Genomic DNA, 19,589 nt, shown 5'->3' on the forward strand with positions numbered 1-19,589 from the left:
GAGTGCAGTAGCACGATCTCGGCTCACTGCCACCTCCACCTCCCAGGTTCAAGCAATTCTCCTGTCTCAGCCTCGTGAGTTGCTGGGACTACAGGCGCACACCACCATGCCTGGCTAACGTTTTTGTGCTTTTAGTAGAGGCAGGGTTTCACTGTATTAGTCAGGCTGGTCTCAAACTCCTAACCTTAGGTAATCCACCAGCCTCAGCCTCCCAATGTGCTGGGATACAGGCATGAGCCACCATGCCCAGCCTACTGTGTTATTTCTAATTCTCTCCACATCTCTACCGGGTATGTATTATTCCCATTTTATAGGTGAAGAATCACAGGCTCTGAGAGTTTAAGTAACTTGGCCAAAATCACATAGGCAGTAAAATAAAATGGTGGAGACACCACTTGAACCTATTGTTGACTTCAAAGTTCATGCTGTTTCCACAGTGGGCCTTTTAGACAAAATAAAACCATCTAATTTCAGGGCTTGTGGTAGGCAAGTGTGACCTTAAGGTCCTGGAAACAGTCCCCATGAAGGAAACAGATGCCATATTGGGGGAAGGTATGCCAGTGTTCCTAGTGACAGTAGCTTTCATGCCCCCATCACAATGAGACTGAGGCAGAGTGGGTGCCGATAAGAGCAGAGGACTCAGTCAGAAGACGACTGGGTTCCACTGGGCAGGGCAACTGGCCTCTCAGGCACAATGTTTTCCTCTGCAAAATGTGGATATCTTTTATTTCAAAGGGTTGCTGTGAGGATTAGAGAGACTAACACCTGGCACACAGCAGGCATCAGATGTATGCTTGGCAATGGCAAGATTAAGAGAAAACAAGCCCCAGCAATCTAGCAGGAAATAGCAGGGAGGTAATTTTAAACATTTTCTTGCTTCCATATATAAAGCCTCACATAATTCAAGATGGATGATTCAATAATTTTTAAAAGATCTTACTTGTATCACGATTTTTTTTTTTTTTTTTTGAGACAGAGTTTCGCTCTTGTTGCCCAGGCTGAAGTGCAATGGCACGATCTCAGCTCACCGCAACCTGCGCCTCCCTGGTTCAAGCGATTCCCCTGCCTCAGCCTCCCGAATAGCTGGGATTACAGGCATTCACCACAACACCTGGCTAATTTTTTGTATTTTCAGTAGAGACAGGGTTTCGCCATGTTGGCTAAGCTGGTCTTGAATTCCTGACCTCAGGTGATCTGCCCACCTCGGCCTCCCAAAGTGCTGGGCTTACAGGCGTGAGCCACCACGCCCAGCCCAATTTCTTTTTTACTAATATGATAGCTTCCACATTCTGGCCTACTGTAAGCACAATAACCTTGCTAACTAGATCAACCCTTTATGATATCATTTTTTACATAAACATTGGAGCTGGAATGGACTCAAAGTAAAACATTTGGCACATTTAACCTTTCTGTTACTGACTAGAAAAGTGGCCAGGGAGGGAGAGAAACCACCTCAGGTCAGTATGAGGTGTTTGAAGAACACAGAAGCAGCTATTGCTAACATTTACTCAGAATACATCATGAGCCAGATCTCCTGCTCAGCATGTTTCCTGCATTCTCTCTTAAAACCCCTCACTCAACAACCCTGAGAGAACATATCATAATACAGATCCCTATTTAACAGAAAAGGAAATTGATTCATACACTGACTTGCTTAAAGTCAGTGACTGCTAGTCCCACAGACTAGCAGATGGGTACAACTGGCTCGTTGCACATGGTAGGCACTCAGTATGTTTTGAACATGGGGTCTTTATTTTCTCCACCACAAAAATAAAAAGCACTACTAATTCCACAAAGATTTTAAGGATAAAATGAGATTAGGTACACAAAGTCCCTGGCTCAGTGCTTTGACCTTGGCATATGCTGCGGTAGGTGAGCAACAATGCTGATATAAAAAGGCATAATAACCACCTGGAACAAGGTTATGATAATGACAATGAGCATAACACATATCGTAATGGGCACAAGATGTATGAATGCCAAACAAACACATGAAAAGATGTTCAATATCATTAATCATTAGGGAAATGCAAATCAAAATCATCATGAAATACCATTACACACCTATTAGAATAGCTGAACTGCATAAACTGAAAATATTAAATGCCAGCAAAAATACAGGTCAACTAGGACTTTCATATTCTGCTGCTGGGAATGCAATGGGTGAATACATATGCAAACCATGGCACATCCATACAACAGAATACTAGTTAGTAATAAAAAGGAACAAACCTTTGATACACACAATGTGGATGGATGTCAAATGCATTATGCTAAGTGAAAGCTAGTCTCAAAAAGTCTGTATAATCCCACTTACATAATAGTCTTACAAAGAAAAAATTATAAAGGCAGAGAACAGATCAGTATTGCCAGGAGTTCAGGAGGAAAGAGGATTTAAACTACAAAAAGGCAGCACCAGAGAATTTGAAGGGTGAGGAAATTGTTCCGTATGCTGTTTGTAGTGGTGGTTGCGTGAATTAATGTCTGTGTTAAAATTCACAGAACTGGCCGGGCGTGGTGGCTCACATCTGTAATCCCAGCACTTTGGGAGGCCGAGGCAGGTGGATCACCTGAGGTTGGGAGTTCGAGACCAGCCTGACCAACCTGGAGAAACCCTGTGTCTATTAAAAATACAAAATTAGCCAGGCTTGGTGGTGAATGCCTGTAATCCCAGCTACTCAGGAGGCTGAGGCAGGAGAATTGCTTGAACCCAGGAAGCGGAGGTTGCAGCGAGCTGAGATAGCACCACTGCACTCCAGCCTGGGCAACAAGAGTGAAACTCCGTCTCAAAAAAAAAAAAAAAGAAAAAAAAATTCACAGAAGTTGCTACACACTGAATGCTTGTGCTCCCCTCCCCCGCCCCGCCCCACAAAATTCATATGTTGAAACCCTAGTCCCCAGTGTGACGGTATTCAGAGAGGACTCCTTTGGGAAGGTCATGAGCAGGGAGCCCTCATGATGGGATTAGTGCCCTTATCAGAAGAGACAGGACAGAGAGAGATGACTTCTCTCTCTGGATGTGAGGATACAGTAAGAAGGCATCCATCTATGAAGCCCAAGAAGGGCCCTCACCAGAACCCAATCATGCTAGCTGGCACCCTCGGACTTCAAGTTTGCAGAACTCTGAGAAATAAATGGCTGTTGTTTAAGCTACCCAAGCTATGGTATTCTTGTTACAGCAGCCCAAACTAACTAGGACAGAACTATACACTTCCAAAAAGTGAATTTTACTGAATTTTAAGTTTTTAAAATTTAAAAATTACTAAAAAGTAGCATTTAAAAATCATAGAAATAACTGATGGGTCTTGGTGAATGGCTGGATATCTGACAGTTGTGGAGAAGGGGTGAAATGTGAGGGTCATATAGCTCTGAAGTTCCTTGCCAAGGGAACAATCATGGGACAGGAGACCATCAGGAGTCAGGGTATCAGAAATAAACAGAGGCTCTAAGAAGTACTGAGGGTCAAGGACCTTGGTTTCCAGACTGATTTCACCAAATGAGTGACTCCATGAAATTATGCAAGCCACATCACCTCCCAGAGCCTTAGTTTACCTACCTCTAAAATGAACAATGAAGCATGTGATCTTGAAGGTCTTTTCCTGCAACAAACATTCTAAAGTCAATTTTTCAAAAGCTATTGAGTCTAGGAAGACAGCAAAACAAATAAGGAGAAATACCCAGACAGGAAAAAAAAATAGTATACATCTGCACAAATATCACCAGAGAATAAAATAAAGTGAAACCATCAACATGTCTGAATGGTAAAGTGAGGTGATGAAAGTAGCCAATAGCAGAGAAAAGATAAGAGACCCAGAATACCACTCCACTGTATAATGGAAGCCAAGAGAAGAGAGCTTTCACAGGGGCTGGGGACAAGAGAGCTGGAATAACTCAAGAATCAAATGCTGAAACAGACAAAAAGAATGAGGACTGATAAAACAACAAAACTATACAGATTTTCATGTGATCAACAGAGTGACTGCAAAAAAACAGTAACAAAAAAACAGTAACAAAAAAGCTCCCATCAAAAACTTGCATGTTGTCTGCATATCTTGGTTGTGTCCTAACTGCTTTTGCCCTTGCATTTTCAGTCTCACTCTGCCTTCTTCATCTTTGCTGCTAAGAATATAGAATTTAATAAAACACGTAGGAACAGTTTCCCTGCAACAGCCCACTTCAGAGGCTGTAATTTTCAAAATTTAGAAATTCCTGGAAATTAAGAATATGACTGTTAAGTGCTGGGAGCCTTTTTTTTTACTTGTCCTACTTAAGTTTATTCAAAGACTCCAGAATTCTAGGAGAGAAGAAACCATTGCATTAACAGAATGGGATGTATACTTACGAAGTACTTAACGTTAACTTAAGAAGCACTAAGAATGCCTGTAATCCCATGACTGTGGGAAGCCGAGGTGGGCAGATCACGAGGTCAAGAGTTCGAGACCAGCCTGGCCAACATAGTGAAACCCCGTCTCTATTAAAAATACAAAAATTAGCTGGGCATGGTGGCACGTGCCTAAAATCCCAGCTACTCAAGAGGCTGAGGCAAGAGAATTGCTTGAACCCAGGAGTCAGAGGTTGCAGTGAGCCAAGATTGCACCACTGCACCCCAGCCTGGGCGACAGACCAAGACTGTCTCAGAAAAAATTTTAAAAAAGAAAGAAAGAAAGAAGTACTAAGATTTTATTATTGTCACTTAGTCTGTCAGGCAGGGAAATAGCTTGAAGTCAACAATATTCCCAAACTGACCAACTGAAATATGACAAATCCTTCATCTCTATCCAGAGTGGGCCTCAGGACACTATTTCACATGCTTCAAGCTATTTCAGCCAAGTGACCCCAAGGCGGCATATAACTCTGAGCACTTAACCAGAACCAGAGGATTGGGGAAATTAACAGTTACAAAGAATGCCCACATGCAAAGTTAACACAGAGTAAACTTTTCAAACACAATTACTTTTGCCAACTTTTCTTTCTGATGATTACATGTAAAAACATCAATTTCATATAACCTGGTTCTGCTGGTTATGAAAGAGGAGGGAAAAGAGAAGGGCACTTGCTTGGGCTTGAAGTCTGGTTATACCACTATCAATTTACTAACTTTGAGCAAATGTATTTACTCCTTTTTATCTCCTATTCTGCATCTACAAAATGGGGACAATCACATTCTCCATCTAGCACTCAGGCTATTAGTGACACGCCCAGATGAGATCATGTCTGTGGAAGCACTCAAGGAGAATGCAAATACAAATAGAAGGTGTTATTACTGCTATTCTATATGGGGGAAGGGGAATGAATATATTTTGAACACCCAATCACATCCCAGCTGCCTCTTTCAAGTCAACCATATGCTTCTCTCCCATCAACAGCTGGGCTGTTGAGCAGATGCCAAATTGATGGAGACAGAAAGGTGCTGAAAGAGAATGCTTCTGTTACCCAGCTTCAGTCCTCCTGGCTGGGTGAAGATAGAAAAGCCATTTCTTATCCATTTCTATTCCACTAACCTTTTTGAGAGTCTTCTATGTGTCAGACACCATGCTGGACACTAAGAACACGTTAATTTTTGACAAAACAGGCTGTGTTCTCAAGCACATCCACTCTGGAAACCACTATGCAGAAATAGCCAAGAACCGAGTCTAGGAAGATGAGGACAAATCAGAGGAGAGAAGCAGGGGTGAGAGAGTAGAGCAGCAAGGAACCACAAAGGACAGGAAGGCAGATGAGAGGGCATGACAATAAAAACCCATGTGTTCAACTAGGACTCTCAGGTCTTAACCCATGGGCCAAGGAACCACAGACACATTTTTAAGCAGTGACTAACATGATCATCCTTGCAGTTTAGAAAGAGGACTGTGACTACAGTTGGGAAGATGAAATGAAGAAGGGCAGAAAATGGGCAGCTGTAGCAGAAATCCAGGCACCAAGTGATAGGGGCTCGAGAATGAGCTAATAAAAAGAGGTAAAATGAACTTGCTTGGTGACTGGAAGGATGCAGGGGTAAGAGGAATTGTAAATGATTCCTTGGTTCTGTCTTGATGACTAAGAGGATGTTGGACTTTTTCACAAGATACAGGAAGAAGTATGGATTTGGCAGGCAAGACAATTTCACATTTTACTTGTATCACTTGGTAAATGACCTCATGTAAAGGAAGTCACTTTGTACATTTGTGACCAACCAAAAAGTTTTAATTTTCTCATCATTTAGCTGCCTGTTTCAAATTTCCATAGACAAGAGGACCACTTAAGACAGAATGGAATGGCTAGGCAAGAACCCACTTCCACATTCTTAACCTCTTGTAGCCAAAGTGAGAACATACCTGACATGAGAACTGAAGCTCAGAAAGGTTAAGTGGCTTACCCTAGGCCTTGCAGCCAATAAAAGAGGAATTAAATTTTAATCCAAGATGGTCTGCTTCCACAGCATCAGCTCTTCTTCTAGCATGCTATTGTGCTCCATTAAGTAAGGGCCTAACACTACTCATCAGATGTAGTACAGGTTGGATACCCTCTTTCCAGAATGCTTGGAACCAGAAGTATTTTGGATTTCAGGAATTTTTGTGATTTTGGATTATTTGCATATACCTAATGAGATATTTTGGGAATGGGACCCAAGTCTACCCATTAAATTCATTTATGTCTCCTATCCACCTTCTACATATAGCCTGAAGGTAATTTTATATGCGATATTTTTAATAACATTGTGCATGCAACAAAGTTTTGACTGTGTTTTGACTGCAACCCATCACATGAGGTCAGGTGTGAAATTTTCCACTTGTGGAGTCATATTAGTGCTCAAAAAGTTTTGGATTTTGGAGCATTGCAGATTTGGGATTTTCAGATTTGGGATGCTCAACCAATACCCATTCTCTGGACACTTTATTCTTCTCCTGATACTCGCCTCTGATAACAGAGTTCAGGTAACTCTGAATCACCTTGTTTTAATCTCTCCAAACACTGTTCCCACTGCTGAGCTGTCAATCAATGATCCTGTCAGCCTAGAAAACCCTGCCCCATCTCTGCTTCTTCAAGTTCATTCCAATGCCTACTTCCAATAACCAGCCACTCTGTGGCTCTGCAAATGCAGGGAGAATGTTCTGCTTCCCACAGGAGCTACTTCTGAATTCACCTGTCCTACCTTATGTCATAGCATTTAAAGTTCTTTCAGGGTAGTCCTTATTTAACTCAGTCCTTATTTAACTAACACTTGTGTCACTGGCTGAACCAAGCATGATACTTCTCCCTGTTCAATATCTTTTTGTGTGTTATATCAGGGGAAGAAGGGAGAAGAAGGCTACTGGAGAAGATGCACAGTGTTTATTTGGAGCCTGCCTACTAAACACTTATCAGGCACTCTCCTAGGCATGAGAGGGCAATGACTGAGACAGCAAGGTCCCTGAACTTACACTGAAAATGTGATGTTTATTTTTCTAAATAAATAAATATGCACACATACATAAAGCAAACACATCAAAAAGTTAACATTTGATAAAACTGGAAGCTGGATATATATGCATTTATTGTATTATTCTCAGTAGGTTCCTGAACATTTAAAATATTTTAACAATAAAAAAATTTGTAATGAGAAGAAAATAAACATAAAGCCTCTACTCTCTGTGGAAAGAACTGCTTTGTCAGACTAACTTATTTCCAAAGTGCCAGGATAGAGAAAATTTTACAGTGATCTATTTTGTTTTTAACATCATGCTCCACAGCAGACAAAACAATCAGGAGAAAAGGTGAAAATGAACGAGTTTAGACAATGGAATTCAATTCAGCAACACAATGAGGTTCTCAGCCAGTCTAGGCTGTCTTCATTTCCAACTCCTTATCCTCTGCAATGTTAAATGATAAAATAAAATACCAGAAAAACATAACCACATTCTAAAACCTTTTGCCTCTGAAGAGGAAGCCCTAATAATAACCACTACCATTTTATTCTACATCTACAGTGTGCTGGGGTCTTACAAACATGATCCCCTAATAAACCTGTAGGATGAGCTTTTTACAGATGAGGAAGTTAAGATTCAAACAACTTAAGTAATTTCCTCAACATCCATTGGTTCCATTGCTGGTGAGAGGCCGGAGCCCAGGCTGCGCACCACCAGGGCTGAACCGTGGGTAACAGAGCTAGCTTCCAAATCTCTCTCTGCCGAGAGTCAAACACCTTGGTTTTGTTTTCATTTAACCATGATGCACACCTCTCACTATCTGATACTCCTTCTCTTACTTATCGTAAACTTCTGGGCTCCCACAAAGGAGTGGATCTTACACAGAGAAAGCAGTCTCTAGTAGTAAATTCAGTAAATTTAAAAAACACACACACACAAAATCCAAGAAATCACAGTCTTGAGATACAGTATCAAAAACCGTACCTCCAAATGGTAACTCAAGGCAACAAAAAAATTGAGGGGTAAAAAACTAAATTGCACAACACACTGCAGTCATCAAAGAAACACTGCATGATTGTTTTAAATTGAACAGCCTTAACCTCTGAAGGGACCTTAATGTTGTAGTCAGCAACAAACCTGTGAAAAGAAAAAGAATTGGTAAAATCACTTTCTAATGTTATGTATCTTTAAACACTTGTGACTGTGAAGAGTGTACAAAATTTATCTTCCACATGTAGACAGAGGGGCAGGACAAGCTAGAGCATACATAAACAGGTTAAGATTTTATTATTTACTAAATTTTCAAAAATGTAGAATAACATTAAACTTGAAATACATGCCATTGTTTATTCTAGTAGGAGTTACATTAACCATTCTGGAAACAAAATATAGATCAGAAAATGAGAAAAGTCAGATTTAATCTAAACGTCAACATTTCTGACCCCTAGAGTTTATTCCTAAAATAGGGGCCTCAGTGCAAAAACGGCACTGTACACTTTGCTTTTCTATCACTTCCTCCTGCACAGTCTAAGCTCTGATGACAGCTCTCAGACAGTAAGGAAACTGCTGAGTCAAAACCACATAATCAGAGCCCTCCACCAGCTGGACCCTCATAAACCTGACACCCCACCCAAAAGAAAGCAAACTGGTCCCCCACATGAGCCTGCACGTAACAGGCTGCTCACCACCAGGGCTGAACCGTCGGTGAAATTTACATGTGCAACCCAAGCAGAGGTTCCAGGGACGGTGTCTAAAGAAGAACTATTAGGAAGATAAGAGAACCAGAACTGTAGAGAGCCACCAAAAATGCACAACATATAACAGACTCCAACAGCAAACAGGCAATTATTTGCCTAGACGTCTGATACAGTGCCAGGTTAGCTCACTGCACTTGAAATTTTAACGGCACAAAAGAACCGCAATTATCTTTTTTCCCAGAGACACATTTCTTTGATTACATCTTGCATGCTGAAATAAAAAATTTATTCAAACAGTTTCAAGGTTATTCTTTGGAATGGAGTATTTGACTGATTGCCAAATGTATAAATTATATGACTAAGTATTAAACATGTGTGTTTACTTTGTTCCAGAGGTCACCTATTTAAATCAAGGACTTAAAAAGTCCTCGATTGATCAACTCCACAAAAAAGAAGAAAGATTATTTATCCCTATAAATCTACACATACACCCATCAGTAAAAAGACCAAGACAGACTCCAAAAAAATGACTAAAAAGATCATACAAGAAATATAAATATAACACAATACACAATGCTGTCAGTAAACTCACCGATAAGCCTCCATCTTCAGATAGATCATGTGCCTTTAGAAAATGTGAGCAATGTAAACAAACAGATTTGACTGGCATTGTTTAAAACCACCAGTTAGTCACATTTGATTTTTATCAGGCCTATAACGGTACAAAACATTTCACTTCTGTTACTACAAAGCTGGAAGCTAATTTCAATTTCCTACATCTCCACAAAAAAGCACCTACAGACATGTCACTGCAAGATGCCCAGGCACCACAAAACCCCGGACCACTGCATGGAGTCAGTGGGGAGCATACTGCTCTATATTCTCCATTGGGCCTCCCCTACCACCCAGATTTGGGAAAAAATACAAATTAAAATCAAGGGAGCTTGCTGTGCAAACACAGCCTGTAGCTCAGAACCTCAGCCCCACTTCCAAACAGAATGTCATCCATAAACAGAAATTCCAGAGCTGCCACAGTGAGACAGGCTCACAGAGAAGCATACCACTGAAATAAATCATATCTGCATATCCAGTGAGCATTTAACCAGCTCAGAGTGAACTAAGGAACCAAACACTACTGCCAGATTTTCCCTCCTAAGGTACTGACAAGTAAGAGCTATCAGAGCAAAAGATATGAAAACACCGGCTGTTTTCCAACAACCCTGACAGGACTTGCTCAAGGTTGCTGCCAAGTTTGCTGGTGAGACTGCTCTGAAGTATTGTGAAACCACACTCTTGACCTCAGGCAGTACTAATACCTTCAACTAAACACTGTTCAAAGTGGTGGGTGTGTTTATAACTGTAAAGGCAGAATTTCCTTGACCACACAGTGATAAGGCACCCTCTAATAAAACTGATCACAAGAAGGCACATATTTTTATTTTCCTTTTTATTTATACAAATGTATGGGGTACATCTGCAATTTTGTTACATGCATAGATTGCATAGTGGTCAGGTCAGGGCTTTTAGGGTATCCATCCCTCAAATAATATACATCATACTCATTAACCAATTTCTCCTCATCCTCCCCACTTCAACCCCTTCACCCTTCTGAGTCTCCATTATCTATTGTTCCACTCTCTACATTCATGACAAGGAACATATTTTAAGAGACACCTTATTTTCTTTTAAAAAGAGTCTCTTGAAAGATGTTTGTCTTGAACAAATATTTGTACACCTGTGTTCACAGCAGCACTAACCACAACAGCAAAAGATAGAAGTAACCCAAGTGTCCAATGACAGATGAATGGATAAACAAAATGTGGTATATCCATACCATGGAATATTAAAAAGGAAGGAAATTCTGACACATGCTACAATATGCGTGAACTCTGAAAACATTATGCTAAGTAAATCAAGCCAAATACTAAATAGTTCCACTTATATGAGGTACATAGTCAAATTCGCATATACAGAAAGTAGAACAGTGGTTTTCCAGGGGCTAGGGGTAAGAAACAATGGGAATGATTGTTTCATGGGCATAGAGTTTCAGCTTGGGATGAGGAAGTCATTCTGGAGATGGATGGTGGAGATGGTTGCACAACAATTTGAAGGTACTTAATGCCACTGAACTGTATACTTAAAAATTGTTAAAATGGTACATTTTGTGTATGTGTATTTTACTATAATCAAAAAAGATGTTTGTACTTGTTTAAAGTATAGATTTGGAATAGTAGAAATATTTTAAAACTATAAAAATACAACATATATTTCTATGCATATTTAAGAATCTACCAAAGTTGTCTTCAGCTTCCACACTTGGCGAAAATCTGACCTTCAGTCTCAGTCTGGAAAGCTAAAGAGCAGGATGCATTCTTCAAATGTCACTTCTGGCATCCTTGAACTGATGTATGATCAATGATTGCATCACCGTGTAAGTAAACATCACAACAGCATGACGTCAGTGATATGAACAAGGCATTATATTTGAATATCTGCTGTTAGTATCCAAAGACTCATTTTCAAATGTCGGTGAACATTCCAGATGTATCCTAGAATCTCCTGCATCCATCAGCAAACTATATGACACTCAAGATTTTGTCACGTACTTACCAAAGATGTTCAAAGATGGAATGTCTGGTTATTATATAACAAAGCTCAGCTCTAGCATTGTACTTTTTTTTTTTTTTTTTGAAACAAGGTCTCACTCCATCACCCAGGCTGAAGTGCAGTGCCATAATCACAGCTCGCTGCAGTCTCAACTTCTTGGGCTTAGGTGATCCTCCCACCTCAGCCTCCCAAGTAGCTGGGACTACAGATGCACACCACCACACCCAGGTAATTTTTTTTTTTTTTTTTGGTAGAGATATGGTTCTGCTATCTTGTCAAGGCTGGTCTCAAACTCCTGGGCTCAAACGATCCACCCACCTCGGCCTCCCAAAGTGCTAGGATTACATGTATGAGCCACTGTACCTGGCCTAGCATTGTACTTTGTGTATAACAGCATTGACATGGCAAGTCTACTAACAATATTAAAGAGCATGCTTACTAACAGTCAATGGTTGCTTGCAGGGAAAGCAGTCAATTGTTGAAAACTGAGGGTACCTTGAGAGGGCAAACATTTGTCACATATTACCTCTGCAAAGATTCTTCTGTCATTCTTCTCCAGGGAAGATATTGAAATTAGTGTGCAGGCAGTGAAAGCTAAGATGCAGATGGAGATTCCAAAACAGCTCTGTTATCTTGAAAGCCAATTTCATTTCTCTACAGCCACACTTTTAGAGCCAAAGCTTAAGGATGCATTTTTCTCTCAACTGGTTGTGTGAAGCAGCAAGTGAGTACAAAAATATCAGGGAAAAATGTGTAGAAGGACAACAATTTCACTTCTGCTTCTGAGATTATCCAGATATATTCTCCTTCAAACAGTGCACAAAGCTGGGGTTAGGAAATACTAAAATGAAACCACATCATCATTGCCAAGAAAATCTTCAGGTCCAGGAGTCACAGAGAAGACAAGTCAGTTATATGACAAAAGATTAATAAGTTGGAAAGAAACTACCACTCATATTGTATTACATGGACAGAGCCAGCAAAAATAATAATATAAAAACAAACTAAACAAATAAGTAAAGGCCTTGCTCCTCCCTCCTCCAACTCAGATCAAAGTCAACATCCACCCAGTATCACAAACATTAACAGCACTGATCGTATATGCTAAGAAATCAAGTCCCTGTACCACAATGCCAAATTCTATTTTAATAACAAAACTGTAATAATGTTTATAAAATGTCAAACTTGTACTTGTATCCCAGAAGTCCATTCTAGGACAGCAAGATTTAGCTTTGGCAATACTATTCCTTTCAGCATTCCACCTTTCAGCATTTGATCAAAATGTGCATTTGGTGAACATCTAATATTTATAGAAAATAGATCAGAGAGATATACACCAAAATGATAACAGCAGTTATCTATGTGTAATAGGGTTATTACTATTATTTTAACTTATACATTTTCTAAATAAAGGAGGAAGAGCAAGAGGGGAAAGAGAAGGAAAAGGGTAAGAGAAGAGGAGGAAGAGAAATAAGAAAAAGAAAAGTTGTCCTTGAAAGAAAACCCATCTGGCTAAAAGGCTAGTGCAGAGCAGCCTTGGGCGGTCAGCACAGGCTGTACACCACAAGATTTCAGGGGACGCTACTCAGTGCCCACTCCTCAAACACTGTGCTGAAGCCACCCCACCCTTACACCTCAGCCTCCCACAGTGCTGGGAGAGAAAAGAGAGTTTCAAGGAAGATAGTATTATCATCGAAATTTAATCAGTGTGATATCTTTATTACTTAAAGCTTTTTAAAAAATCAGTAATTTCAAGTCAAAGATGTAGCCTAATAACAAGTACAGAGAAACACACCTGATATGACTATACAGGTGGCAAAATTGCCTGTGAAGGAGACATTCTTTTTGTAGACTTCCTATGAATACAATCACCCCTCAGTAACTCAGGAGATTGGTTCCAGGACCTCCAGGGACACCAAATTCCGTGGATGCTCAAGTCCATCATATAAGATGGCATGATATTTGCATATAACCTACACAAATCCTCCTGTATCCTTTAAGTCATCTCTAGATAATGTATAATACATAATACAATGTAAATGCTGGGTAAATAGTTGTTATGCTATAATTTTTTGTTTTTTGTTTTTTTGACACAGGGTCTCACTCTGTCGCCCAGTTTGGAGTACAGAGGTGCAACCTCTGCTCACTGAAGCCTCAACCTCCCAGGCTCAAGCGATCCTCCCACCTCAGTCTCCCTGGTATCTGGGACTACAGGTGTATGCCACCACGTCTAATTTTTGTAGAGACAGATTTTGCCACATTGCCTAGGCTGGTCTCGAACTCCCAGACTCAAGTGATCCACCAGCCTCAGCCTCCCAAAGTGCTGGGATTACAGACATGAGCCACCATGCCTGGGGGTATTTTTTTTATTGCATTGTTATTTTTTGGCTTTTTCCCCAAATATTTTCAATCTATGTGATTGAATCTGTGGTTGCAGAACCCATGGATTATTTACAGAATTTTTTAATGACAGAGTCAGTATGACCTGACTCTTGCCTTGGTAGACTAAGACCTGTTGAGGACATATCTGTCTAGTTCATCACTGTGTCACCAGTACTCCACAGGGTACCTGGCCCATAGTAGGGCCCAACCAGTACCTTCTCAATAGTTTTTTTTTTTTTTTTTTTTTTACAAAGGCATTACATACCTTTTTGCACATAACAATGCTTTCAGAACAACTTTCTTTATGACTATTCTCAACAGTTACCTAGTATTCCATTGTGTGGATATACATAATTTGTTTAACCAATCCCCTATATTTTAATATTACATTTCCAACTTTTCACTATGATAAAGAGCTCTGGGATGAATAATGACCTTGATTATTTCTTAAAATAAGCCCCTAAAAGTAGAATTGCTGGGTCAAAGAGTGTGTGAGCATCTACGGTCTCACTCTTCAAAGCTACCCTCTAGACCCTTATCTTGAAGGCAGTAGTCATGAACTTTACTATTTAGGTAAGCTACTATGGACTTCTCAAGCAGAGCAATCTCCTAAAACAGGTGCCTTTGGCATCAGCAGCCAAAGCTCCAGACCTATCTTCAGTACCCATCAGACACAGAAATCTGAGAAGCAGCAACTGCTCCAAGGGGCCTCTGTGCTCCTCCCAATGGCTCAACCTCCTCTTCTTGCTCAGTGGAAGACAGAAACACATTGTAGCATCATACGCACCTCCCCGCCTTTGCTTCCACTAAGTCAAATGGTCTTCCAGTGATGCCAGCGGTATCATTTTGTTTCCCATCCCACCCGTAAGACACAGAAACGTCAAGCCGCACAGAACTACAACAAGGCTGTCAGTGTGTGTCTGCCTCACCCCCTTTTACCTAGTCACTTCCCATTAGTTCCTCTAAAAAGAGAAAGATAGAAATATGAAGGAACTTTCCATGGCATAATTTTCACTTTTTATCCACTTTCATAAAAAATGGGCCTTTTAAATACCTTCCTGGTGAATTTAATGAGAGTTTTAGATGCACTGTCCCCCAAAATACACTTAAATACATGGTGGCTTCAGGAAACCCATCCAGGGACCCCCAATAAGAACCTGTGGGCCACACATAGGGCCTTGAAACGAATGAGCAAAATGAGGCTTGAGAAACTCCTGAGAGCGTTCTCACAATCCTGCCTGTTTCTAAAATCAAAGTGAGAGGGAAAGCCGGCCATGCTGAGGCCCCTATGGAAACCTGGAACACTGCCCAGCCAACTGCTTGGAACTTTGTAGAGCCTTTCAAAGTAACTTAGTTGTCACTACATGGACCACAGCAGTAAAGCAAATGTTAAATTACCAACCTTGTGAACAGGTGGCAGAGACATTCTGAGGCACAGGTGAGGTTTTGCCTCCTGACAACCCGACATGCTATATATTTGCTTATTTGATTATTGTCGGTCTGACCCTTACCAAGAAAACTCCATACGAGCTGAGACTTTGCTTTGTTCACACCTGTATCCTGGCCTCGTTCAACGTCAAAGCTGCCAGTCTCCACAATTCTGAAGGCTCAGGCTAGAGATGGAGGCCATCTACAAAGGCTTCCACAAAAAGCAATGGCATACAGGGGACATTCTGTGTACTTGGGTCTGGGGGTGTGTAGAGTGAACTAATAGCCAGGGGAATAATAGGGACAGGCTCTGGGATAAGATCAGGTAGAAACACAGAGGAAGGGACTATGCAGTCCACGTGGTGAAAATCTCGACAACACACGGCCAGAAAACTGGGTACAGATAGTGCCTGTGCAATAGCCCATCTCACTTATGGTCCATCTAGTCAAATGAATGGTCAACACGCCACCCAGGAGAGGAAAGGGAATCAACACGCACTCTCTCTTACAGGAAATCTCAGGGTCACCCTCTGCTGCCACATCCCAAGGCCACCTCAACAACTGCAGAATGCAACCCTGTACTACTGTGGACACACGCCAAGGGTCTTCACACCACGACACTTGTGACAGAGTGGTTATTATCCCCATTTCACATGAGAAAGCCACTGCCCCAAAAGGATTTAAACCCAAGCCCACTGTTCTTCATCACTCCTCAGCTGGCTTTCAAAATCAGGGCCCCTGGGTCCTTGCCTTCCCAGTTCCTGTTATCTAGAAGACCCTGGGTGTCCTGACATCTTACAAATGGCTCAGAAATTGCATTACTACCTCACCAGTGTGCTTGGACAGCCAGCAGCATCTTTCCTCACTGCCCTCACCTACTCTGCCTCTGTCTCAGATGACCAGGACAGCCTGACTTGGGCTGAAGGCCGTGGGTCCTCTATACAGACTGTTTCTTTCACAATCCTCTTCTGGTCCCATGGCCTTTTCTCCAGCATCCCAAGCATCTCTGCTCTCCAGTCATCCTCCACCTGCCTGTGCACCTTCATCCCTGCCGCTGCCCCCTGCCTTTCCTCCACCCTTCCCTCTCCCCTCCTGGTTTCCTCAGGAGTAAAACATTCCTCTTCTCTGTTGGCCTCAGACACACTGGCACCCCCCATCCCCTTTTCCAACTCCTGCCTAAACTGTCAGCCTGTGTCTGTTAGGGGGAAAGAAGCTGTGGGCAAAGCCTGCCTTCCCACCCTATCTCCCTCCCAGTCCTGATTTCTCCTGCCTCTGCTGCTTTCACCCAGCCCCCTGCCAGTGGGGTGGGTACCACTTCAGCTAGCCCTCCCCACCACTTCCTTAGGAGATAGTTTTCTTGAGGTTTGTTCTCTACCATCCTGCCCCAGGGCTTTTTTCTTCAATCCCTCCATCTCCATCTGTGACTATTGGGAACTCCCTTCCAAATTTAAGCATCTTCCACCTGCCAAGCTTAGCTGAGGATCCTCCACCCCTTAACCTGAGATTTGTTATAACATCCCGTCTTCATGGATTCACATAGAATACCTGCATGAAACTTTTAGAAGACTGAACATCCACATTTTGCTCCCTTAATGGAGACAGCCTGCCAGAAGGAATATCCATTACAACCTGGGAAATGCAAACAGCTTATTGCTATTTCTATAAAGTGGTCTGGACATGAAATTAAATAGGACTGGGGAAGGTAGTGCTGAAATCAGCTTCTTTTGTTAATGAATAATAAGCAGCTGGCGAAAAGGAGGAGTGGAGGGGAGAAAAAAGAAAACAAGGAACTGGAACCACTGAAAACACAAATGAAAGGGGAATTTCACACTTAGCCAAAAATTCAGGGAAAATAAAATAAAACTTTGTTTTTAATAGAGTCTTTCTTTTAAAAGTTGATTTATCTTAAAGATAGAAAGTCGTTAATCTTCTCCAGGTTTTACATTCCTAGCAGACAGCTAACATTTAGCCACTTTGTTGTTTGTTGTTGTTGTTGTTGTTCTGAGACAGAGCCTCGCTCTGTCGCCCAGGCTGGAGTGCAGTGGCGTGATCGCGGCTCACTGCAGCCTCTGCTTCGTGGATTCAAGCAATTCTCCTGCCTCGGGCTCCTGAGTAGCTAGGATTACAGGCGTGCGCCTCCATGCCAGGCTAATTCTTGTATTTTTAGTAGAGATGGGGTTTCACCATGCTGGCCAGGCTGATCTCGAATTCCTGACCTCATAGCCACGTTTTTTAAAAACAAAGAAAGTAAACTCTTAAGTACTCTTGTAACTCCCCAAGTAGTTTTGAAGTGCAGTCCCAGCTCTGATTCTCCCTTTGGGGGCTGACCACTTATAGCACACATCTTCCTAGGCTTGTCTCTGCTGTCAGGATTATGTCACTAAAAATGAAAACCTCATGTGGCTTTCAACCCTAAAACAAAAGAAAATAAAAACCAAAAAAATGCCACTTCTGGCTCCATCTACACTGACCTATGGTATGGATTCCCTTCTGTGCACTCTGCTGACACAGGGAAACTGGGCAGGTGACCTCTGTCCAGTCATCCCACCCCTGACCCAGGGAGGCTAGGTGTGCAGCTTTGATACTGTACTCACTACTTGGTGATGACATCATCTGTGGACATGTCTGTCTCCCCACTAATCCCTCAAAGACCCAGACCCCATCGCACTCATCTCTGTATCTCAAAGCTCACCAGGGAAACTGGCCCATAGGGGATTTTCAACACATATTTACTGCCACTGTCAACCCTGAGTTATAAAATGACCAGACTGGAGAGTGTCTCCACACCTGAACAGGCCTCTCTAGCCTCTTCAGTCGGCCCCTGGCAATCCCCCCATCCTCTCTGCCCTGCCACATTCCCTCACCAAGCAAACGAGCTGTTACAGGCTGACAGGGTCACAGGAGAGTCCTGATAACTAGCACAGAGAAAAATCTAAACCAGTGTTCCTTCCCAAATACAACTTACTTGTATTGTTCACCTCCGAGTTCTTTCTAAATCCTGAGTTCCTACAAAATATTTAAATTATAAAAGGTTTTCGTCCCGAGGTTTTATATATGTAACATTCTTTCAAATAGGAAAAAGTGTAGCCTGGATTGCAAGACAGAAAACTTCTGCTATAATAATAACTATTCATACTTCTTGAGAGCTTAATGTGTGTAGGTGCTGTACTAAGCTTGGTACACATTGTAGCTATGTGACCTCGTGGCAGCTGGAGGAAAGCTGTACAAAGCTCTTTTTTCCTACAAACACAGTTTTCTGCTATAATTAAACTAGGCAAATAAGATTATCTTCTGCCTCTCCACTGTCAGGTTATGTATCTCAATATACTTTTAATTTGTCTGTGCCTAAATTCCTCCATGGGGATAAGTGGTGAACAGGAAGTCTTTCTTTTTTTTTTTTTGCCAATGGAAGGGGGAATGAAAAATAACAAAAATAAATGAGGCCATCTTCCTAAGATGGGATGTAATGATGGCACTCCAAGCTTCTAATGAGTGCTGACTTATATTTCCAAGTTTTCTCTCCACCTTGGGATCATCTCTCCTGAGCCATGCCAGAACCACTGGTGAGCAGGAAAAGCAAGTTTCTGCTCTGGACTGGCTCAGACACCCCTCTGCTGTCCTAGATAAACAGGACCACATGAGTTCAGTTTTTATTTCATGAGGCGGAAGGCACTTCCAATGTCTAAATCTGAAATCATCCCACCTGACTGTAACTAGAAGTAGTAGCAGCTGGCTCCTCGCTGACATGGGCACTGCTGATGGCAGTGGTTGGCAAAGAGTGGTCCCCAGACCAGCAGCATGACAGTATCCAGGAACACATTAGACATGTCAACTGCCCACTGCCACCTGCCCCAAGCTCTTTGCCTCAGAAACTCTGGCAGAGGTGGGTCCCAGCCCTGGGCGTTGTAAGCAGCCTTCGAGTGATTCTGATACACGCTGAAATCTGAGAGCCACTGGCTTCACCTGATAAACATCTGAGGTCATGGGAATGCCCTGCTGGGCTAACCTGTGTATTACAACGCTTTATGTAAAGGTACTGGCTCTCCACCAACAGTACCTACTTCTGTTATTTCTGCCACCTGGCAAAGGC

The 19,589-nt window shown here is 41.9% G+C and overlaps 1 protein-coding gene across 7 annotated transcripts in view, besides 1 other annotated feature; it reads right to left on the reverse strand.

The window, feature by feature from the left end:
* Positions 1–19,589, reverse strand: part of SGMS1 (sphingomyelin synthase 1) — a 319,585-nt gene that overhangs the window by 289,625 nt on the left and 10,371 nt on the right. The gene's annotated exons all lie outside the window — the stretch shown is intronic.
* Positions 19,453–19,582: a silencer, noted in NCBI's record as "silent region_2368". NCBI's record gives its function as "represses an Ori minimal core promoter by ATAC-STARR-seq in GM12878 lymphoblastoid cells {active_cell/tissue: GM12878}" and the evidence as "EXISTENCE:reporter gene assay evidence [ECO:0000049][PMID:35858748]".

This window comes from Homo sapiens, chromosome 10 (genome assembly GCF_000001405.40).
Source record: "Homo sapiens chromosome 10, GRCh38.p14 Primary Assembly".
Lineage (NCBI taxonomy): Eukaryota > Metazoa > Chordata > Mammalia > Primates > Hominidae > Homo > Homo sapiens.